Genomic DNA, 8,568 nt, shown 5'->3' with positions numbered 1-8,568 from the left:
GTACGTCACAGGAAAGGACTCTGATCAACTGGTGGACATTATAGGAAGTTCAGTTTCAGCTCAATGTAAGCTTTATGCAGTGGTAGTCTCTCACCTCTGGGAAAGTTCATGTGAAGCCTGATAACCTCTTGCATTCCAAGATTTAAAAATACCTTCTTATGGGCTGGGCGTGGTGGCTCATGCCTGTAATCCTAGCACTTTGGAAGGCCGAGGTGGGCAGATCACTTGAGGTCAGTAGTTTCAGACCAGCCCCGCCAACCCCATCTCTACTAAAAATACAAAAAAATTAGCCAGGCATGATGGCAGCTGCCTGTAATCCCAGCTACTCAGGAGGCTGAGGCAGGAGAATCGCTTGAACCCGGGAGGTGGAAGTTGCAGTGAGCCGAGATCACGCCACTGCATTCCATTCAGTCTGGGCAACAGAGCGAGACTCTGTCTCAAAAAAAAAAAAAAAAAACAACAAAACCACAAAAAATTTATTATGGAAAACTTTCAAATATACCAAGATTTGAGCAAATAATGTAATGTCAGAAATGTTTTGAAGATGGAACTTTGGCATAGTAACCCAAGGGACCTACAGCCATCTGAAGAATCACCTTTGTTATAGGATGTAGGGATGCTGGCCAGGATGAGGGTATATGCATACTAGATCACAGTCCATATGATGTTAACAACAGGACTTCCATTGCCAAGTTTCACTGATAGAATCACAGTTTCGTAGGTATCAGGAGTCTCAATTTTCTTCTCTAGTTTCCTTGATATACAGCTCCTCATGCATAAGAGTTACTTTTTCATTCTGTCTTTCCCATTCTTCCCTAGTGGAGGGTCTTGTTGGAGATGTGGCCCTTCACTGCCTCATCTGGCCCCAACCCGATGACTAACCAAGCTACTAATTCACAGTGTCTAGCCCATGGTAGGTGCTTAATACACCTTTGTCAACTGAGTGAACGGCCCTCTGGCAAGCTGCTGTCTACCATCCTTAGAACAGTAAAAGCCTAACATAGTTTCTTCCCCTCTAGAAAATGGGATTTGGAAGTAGTAATTTTAAGTTGTTCTATCCATAGAGGGTTGAAGAAACTGGAATATAAGAGAACTCTTGGCATTGATGCCATTCTGGGGTGATAGCTTCTGGATTCCTCACTTATTAAACAAACTAATTAGAAAGTAGATATAATCTGTTCTCACAACCTATTATGTAAATTTAAGGAAATCCCAGTTCTCTCTGCATTTAGATGCCACAACCATCACCTTGCATGAAAAGTTTATTCAGGGCAGACAAAACTATATTCTCAGAAGGAATTATATACCCTTATACTTGGAATCAGAAAATGAGAAATTCTCTTAATTAATGGCTGAAATCGGGCCCCTTGGAGAGCAGGACATAGGTGTTGTCTCCAAGACCGTAAGGATACAGGTTTTGCAAGGTTCTATTTCCTCCTCATGGAAGGGCAGAGTGTCTCTAAAACTTTAACCAAGCCACATGTCTGTTACACTTGGTTATTTCACCAATGAGAGCCATTACTAAGATTGATCATGGCATTTCATCAATAAGACAAGCCACTAGTTTCACCAATAAAAATCCATTTATGACACTTGCTATGCTAATGTGCAAAGTATTTGATATTGATGATATGGTAATCATTACAATTGATCAATCTGATATTAATCAATAACCATTTGTAGTCGTCACTGCTGAAGCATGGCATTTCTTTTTTTGTGTGTGTGATGATGATTATTATTATTTTTATTTTACTTTAAGTTCTGGGATACATGTACAGAACGAGTAGGTTTTTTATACAGGTATACATGTGCCATGGTGGTTTGCTTCACCTATCAACTCATCATCTGGGTTTTAAATCCTGCATGGATTACATATTTGTCCTAATGCTCTCCCTCCCCTTGTCCCCCACCCCACAACAGGCTCTAGTGTGTGTTTCTCCCTTCCTTGAGTCCATATGTTCTCATTGTTCAACTCCCACTTATAAGTGAGAACATGTGATATTTGGTTTTCTGTTCCTGTGTTAGTTTGTTGAGAATAATGGCTTCCAGCTTCATCCATGTCCCTGCAAAGGACATGATCTCATTCTTTTTTATGGCTGCATAGTATTCCATGGTGTATACGTGCCATATTTTCTTTATCCAGTCTATCTTTGATGGACATTTGGGTAGGTTCCAAGTCTTTGCTATTGTGAATAGTGCCACAATAAACATATGTGCATATGTCTTTATAGTAGAATGATTTATAATCCTTTGGGTATATACCCAGTAATAGGATTGCTGAGTCAAATGGTATTTCTGGTTCTAGATTCTTGAGGAATTGCCACACTGTCTTCCACAGTGGTTGAACTAGTTTACAGTCCCACCAACAGTGTAAAAGTGTTCCTATTTCTCCACAGCCTCGCCAGCATCTATTGTCTCCTGACTTTTTTATAATCGCCATTCTTACTGGAGTGAGATGGTATCTCACTGTGGTTTTGATTTGCATTTCTTTAGTGACCAGTGATGATGAGCTTTTTTTCATGTTTATTGGCCACATAAATGTCTTCTTTTGAGAAATGTCTCTTCATATCCTTTGCCCACTTTTTGATGGGATTGTTTTTTTTCTTGTAAATTTGTTTAATTTCCTTGTAGATTCTGGATATTAGATGTTTGTCATATGGGTAGACTGCGAAAATTTTCTCCCATTCTGTAGGTTGCCTGTTCACTCTGATGATAGTTTCTTTTGCTGTGCAGAAACTCTTTAGTTTAATTAGATCCTATTTTTCAAGTTTGGCTTTTGTTGCAATTGCTTTTGGTGTTTTAGCCACGATGTCTTTGCACATGCCTATGTCCTGAATGATATTGCCTAGGTTTTCCTCTAGGGTTTTTATGGTTTTGAGTTTTACATTTAAGTCTTTAATCCATCTTGAGTTAATTTTTGTATAATGTGTAAAGAAGGGGTCCAGTTTCTGTTTTCTGCAGTTGGTTAGCCAGTTTTCCCTGCACCATTTATTAAATAGGGAATCCTTTCCCCATTGCTTGTTTTTGTCAGGTTTGTTGAAGATCAGATGGTTGTAGATGTGTGGTGTTATTTGTGAGGTCTCTGTTCTGTTCCATTGGTCTATATATCTGTTTTGGTACCAGTACCATGGAGCATGGCACTTCTAATAGAATACCTGCTTATCTTCCTTAAAGTTTGAATTCTCAGGGCAACTGGCTGCCTCTAGATTTAAAGCATAAACTCATAATATCATGATAACCTTGATGAAGTATTTTAAAGTAAATTTGCAGACACTGTAATACTAATGTAATTAGACCTGAGCCCCATTCAGTAGACTTGGATCTGTCTTTTTTGCATGACTCTTGTTGGCTCCATTTTTCATGTTGGTCATTGCCTTTGGTTTTCTCATTAACACCTTGCATCTAGGTTCTTCTTGGCCTATTCTGTCTTTCTGAAGCTATGTCTCCATCCAGACTTGTTAGGTATAATGTATGTGACCTTATCTTGAACTGGAATTTTGTATATACCCACTGAGATATGGTTGTGGTAGATTATTGGTCTTCACCCTTTCTGGAGATGAGTGTCCAAGTGCTTCCCAGTTGCATAACTCCTCTTCTTGTTTGTATGTAGTATTTACTAACTCTGACATGAGAAGCATGTGATGAGGAGGGTGTATGGGGCAAAGTCCCACTAAATGAGAAGGCAGTATTTGAGATGTAGATTTTAGGTTATAAAAATGGTTTATTAAAGTATAATTGACAGAAGATGAGCAGTGCATATTTAAAGAGTACAATTTCCTAAGTTTTGATGTAAACGTGCACCCATGAAACCATCACCACAATCAAGATATTGAGGATAGCCATCACGCCCCTTTGCAATCTTGTCCTGTCACCTCTCCCTCCCTCACCCCTAACCCAAGGCAATGACCGATCTGCTTTCTGTCTCTATATTCTATGTTCTCATTTTCTAGCATTTTATAGGAAGCAATCATACAGTATGTACTCTTTGTTAATTGTTCTTCTTCAGTCAGCATACTTATATTGAGATTCATTCATGTTGCAGTAGGAATCAACTACTATTGAATGTAGTGGGTTCATTTTCATTAATGAGGAGAATTCCATTGTGCAGATATACTAGTTTGTTTATTCATTCACCTGTTGATGGACAGCTAGGTTGTTTCCAGCTTTCGATTATCATAAATTAATTTGTTATGAACATCAATGTACAGTGTTTGTGTAGACATATGCTTTCTTTTCTCTTGGTAAAATACCTAGGAATGGAATGGCTGGATCATATGGTAGTGTTTGTGTAACTGTTTAAGAACCTGTCAAATTGTTTTTCAGAGTGGTTATACCATTTTACATTCCTGCTAGTGTTCCTGGAACGAAGCCGGGTCCGGCTGCATTTTCTCAAGTCCCAATAATGAGAAGCAGACAAACTAGGAAGAAGGGAATTTATTACTGTAACTGGATACAGTGAGAAGGCCAGAGGTAATTCCACTAGACCAACTCAAAGTGTTACAATTTTCTTAGTCCTTATATAGATTGGGGTTATGTACCTATAGCATAGCATTCGCCTAAGTCTATTGGTAACTAATTTTGTTCCAACTAGGTCAGAGGCAAAAAATGCTTGCTAAGTCCGATTAAAAGGGCCCCAGTACATTCAAGGCCTGCCTATTGTGGTACTGCAGTGATTATTTCTATCTTATCTCCTTTACAGCTTGGTCTGGAGAGCTGCCTTAGACTCTCCATTGAATCTATTCAAACAGCTGCCTCTGTTACCTTGACTTGTCTCAGATTTTGTTGACCCAAGACAGGTCCTGGCACTGGGAATGTAAAACTGTTTATTATTTTGGCTTGCTCCAGCGAAGGAGAAGCCCATGCAAGCCTCCTACTGACCATGTGTTTCATTTCTAGCTTTGATGTCTGGGCACCGATTTCCCTAGGTTTAACTATTTGCTCAATGTGAAGGCAGCGCAGTGGAAATTTGTCTGTGTAACTGGGTTGCTATGCAGGCCTGTCTGTGTGACTGTCATGCAGGCCTGTCTGTGTGATAGCCAGGGAGAATTGGCCTGCCACACCAGCAATATATGATTCTTTATAAATTCTTCATAAATTCTAAATACAAGCCCCTTATAAGAAGCACAGTTTGCAATTTTTTTCCTAAGTTGTGGCTTCTGTTTATTCTCTTTACAGTATTTTTTGAAGAGCAAAATTTTTAATTTTGAGGAAGTCCAGTTTGTTCTTATATAGATTGTGCTTTTGATGTGGTATCTAGAAAATCTTTGCCTAGAAAATCTAGAAAATCTTTGTGGTATCTAGAAAACTTTTATTTTCTTCTAGAAGATTTTTACAGATCCATTTTGAATTATTTTTTGTACATTTGTATGTAGCTGGGGTATGAATTCTTTTCAGTGTGTGTGTGTGAATGGACATCGATTTTCCGAGCATCATTTGTCAAAAAGACTGTCCTTTCTTCACTGACTTTTCTTTGTATCTTTGTGAAAAATCAACTGCTCCTATATGGATGAGTCTGTTTCTGTATATTTCATTCTGTTTCACAGATGAATTTGTCTACCTTTATATTAATCCCACTATTTTGATTATCGTAGCTTTATAATAAGTTTTGAAATGAGGTAGTGTTAATTCTCCAACTTTGTTCTTTTTCCAAGTTGTTTTGCCTCCCCTGAGTCCTTAGTGTTTTCATATGAATTTTAGAATGTGTTTGTCAATTTCTACATTGCTGGGATTTTATTGGGAACATATTGAACCTATTAATCAATTTGAGAGAAATGACACTGAGTCTTTCAACACACGAATTCAATATATATTTCCCATATTTCCGTTGTTTAGGTCTTCCTTAATTTCTCTCAGTATTGTTTAAAGTTTTTAGTGTTTTATATTTTTTGTAAGATCCATCCCTGATTATTTAATATATTTTGATGCTATATAAATAACACTAATTTTTAATTTCAATATTCGAGTTTTCACTGCTAGTATATAGAAAAACAATTTATTATTATTATTATTTTTTGAGACAGGGTCTCACTTTGTTGCCTGGGCTAGAGTGCAGTGGTGTGATCAGGACTTACTGCAGCCTTGACCTTCTGGGCTCAAGCAATCCCCCCTCCTCACCGTCCCACCCACGTAGCTGAGACTACAGTTCCATGCCACCAGGCCTGGCTAATTTTTTTATTTTTTGGAGAGACAAGGTCTCACTATGTTTCCCAGGCTGGTCTTGAACTTCTGAGCTCAAGCAGTCCTCCTGTCTCGGCCTCCCAGAATCCTGGGATTATAGGTGTGAGCCACCATGCACAATTCAGTTTTGTTTATTGACATTTTGTAAAATCCACTTACTAGTTCTAGTAATTTTTTTTAGTAGATTCCACCAGATTTTCTGCAGAGATAATCATGTCATCTTTGGATAAAGTCAGTTTTACTTTTTTCTTTTCTACTTGGATGCATTCTATTTCATTGTTTGCCTTATTGTACTGGCTACCACCTCTGGTACAATGCTGAACAGAAGCCGTGAGGGTGAAGAGCCTTGTCTTGTTCTTTATCTTAAGGGAAAATAATTCAGTTTTTTCTCGTGACGTTAAAATACAAATAAAATATTAGTTGTGAGTGTTTGTCAGGTTGATGAAGTTCCTTTCTATTCCTAGTTTGATGAAAGTTCTTATCATGAATGGATGCTAGATGTCATAAAATAGTTTTAGTGTTTCTTGAGATAAATATATGGTTTTTCTTTTTTTTCTTTTTTTTTTTTTTTGAGACGGAGTCTTGCTCTGTTGCCCAGGCTGGAGTGCAGTGGCACGATCTCGGCTCACTGCAAGCTCTGCCTCCCGGGTTCACGCCATTCTCCTGCCTCAGCCTCCCGAGTAGCTGGGACTACAGGCGCCCGCCACCACGCCGGGCTAATTTTTTGTATTTTTTAGCAGAGACGGGGTTTCACCGTGTTAGCCAGGATGGTCTCGATCTCCTGAACTTGTGATCTGCCCGCCTTGGCCTCCCGAAGTGCTGGGATTACAGGCATGAGCCACCGTGCCCAGCCTGGTTTTTCTTTTTTCGTTTGGTAATATGGTAATTTATATTGATTGATTTTCTAATGTTAAACCAACTTTACATTATTGGGATAAGATCATACTTTGTCGTGACATCAATTTTATATCTTCTTCAATTTAATTTTCTAAATTTTGATTAGAATTTTCACTTTCATGTTAATAAGGGATTTTGGGCATTAGTTTTTTTTGTTTTTAAATAATGCCTTTATTTGGCATTAAGATAATGCTGGCCCCATAGAACAAGTCAGAAAACATCCTTGCCTTTTCAGTTTTCTGAAAAAAGTGTTTGTAGAATTGGTATTATTTCTTTTTAAAAATTTTAACAGAATTCTCCAGTAAAGTCAAGTGTACCTGGAGTTTTCTTTGCAGGAATTCTTTAACCTATAAACTCAATTTTGTTAATAGACATAATGCTTTCAGGCTATATCTTCTTGAGTGTAGTTTGGTAGTTTGTCTTTCATGGAATTTGTCCATTTACTCTATGTTGCTGAATTTATTTGCATAAGGTTGTTTGAAATGTTACCTTACTATCTTTTTATTATCTGCAGAATCTTTGGTGATATAACGTCTCTCATTATTGATATTAGAAATTTTTTTTCTCTCTTTTTTCGTGTTTAGAAGTTGTCAACCTAATTGATCTTCTCAAATAACTATTTGTTTTATTGTTTTTCCCTTTTCTATTTAATTGATTTCCACTCTGATCATTATTATTTCCTTCCTTCCACTTACTGTGAATTTAATTTGCTCCTCTTTTGCTAGTTTCTTAAGGTAGAAGCTTAGATTGGTGGTTTGAGACCATTTTTCTTTCCTAATATAGGCAATAGGTACTATAGATTTCTCTTCTAAGTACTACTTCAGTAGCATCTGACTAATTTTGATATGTTTTCATTTTAATTCAGTTCACAATTCTAATTTTCATTTTGATTTCTTCTTTGATCCATAGGTAATTTAGAAGTGTATAATTTGGTTCTAAGTATTTGAGGATTTTCTATATATTTTTCTGTTAATGATTTATAATTTAACTCATTTGTGATGATAATATATTTTTATAACTTGAATTTTTTAAAGTTTATTGAGACTTGTTTTATGGTTTAGAATGTGGCCTATTATAATAAATGTTCTGTGTGCATGTGAGAAGAATGTATTCTGCATTTTGTAGGTGGAGTGCTCTAAAAATATCAATTAGGACAAGTTGGTTGATAGTATTGATAAAGCCTTCTATATTTTTATTGGATTTTTGTCTGCTTGTTCTATCAATTAGTGAGAAAGGAATATCTGGGTATAATTGTGGATCTGTATATTCTTCATACAGCTGTATGAAGTTCTTGCATTATAGATTCATAAGTTGTTGTTAGTTATATAAACAGGATTATTATGCCCTTTTAATGAATTGATCCTTTATCATTATAAAATAAACTTTTTCATTGCTGCTTGTATTCTTTGCTCTAAAATTTACCTGATTTCATATAAATATAGCCATTCCAGCTTTCTGTAAATAACTTCCAGCATGGTATATCTTATACTATCT

General features: G+C 36.8%; 2 annotated features.

The window, feature by feature from the left end:
• Positions 713 to 882: an enhancer, noted in NCBI's record as "experimental_68424 CRE fragment used in MPRA reporter constructs". NCBI's record gives its function as "activates a minimal promoter by MPRAs in K562 erythroleukemia cells, with activity observed for the non-introgressed 3:22974000 variant allele {active_cell/tissue: K562}" and the evidence as "EXISTENCE:reporter gene assay evidence [ECO:0000049][PMID:34662402]".
• Positions 6,845 to 7,345: an enhancer, noted in NCBI's record as "H3K4me1 hESC enhancer chr3:22967452-22967952 (GRCh37/hg19 assembly coordinates)". NCBI's record gives its function as "activates a minimal SCP1, AML or CMV promoter by ChIP-STARR-seq in primed H9 embryonic stem cells {active_cell/tissue: H9 hESC(primed)}" and the evidence as "EXISTENCE:reporter gene assay evidence [ECO:0000049][PMID:30033119]".

Source organism: Homo sapiens, chromosome 3, assembly GCF_000001405.40.
Source record: "Homo sapiens chromosome 3, GRCh38.p14 Primary Assembly".
NCBI classification, from domain to species: domain Eukaryota; kingdom Metazoa; phylum Chordata; class Mammalia; order Primates; family Hominidae; genus Homo; species Homo sapiens.
This window is presented reverse-complemented; position numbering and strand designations above follow the sequence as displayed.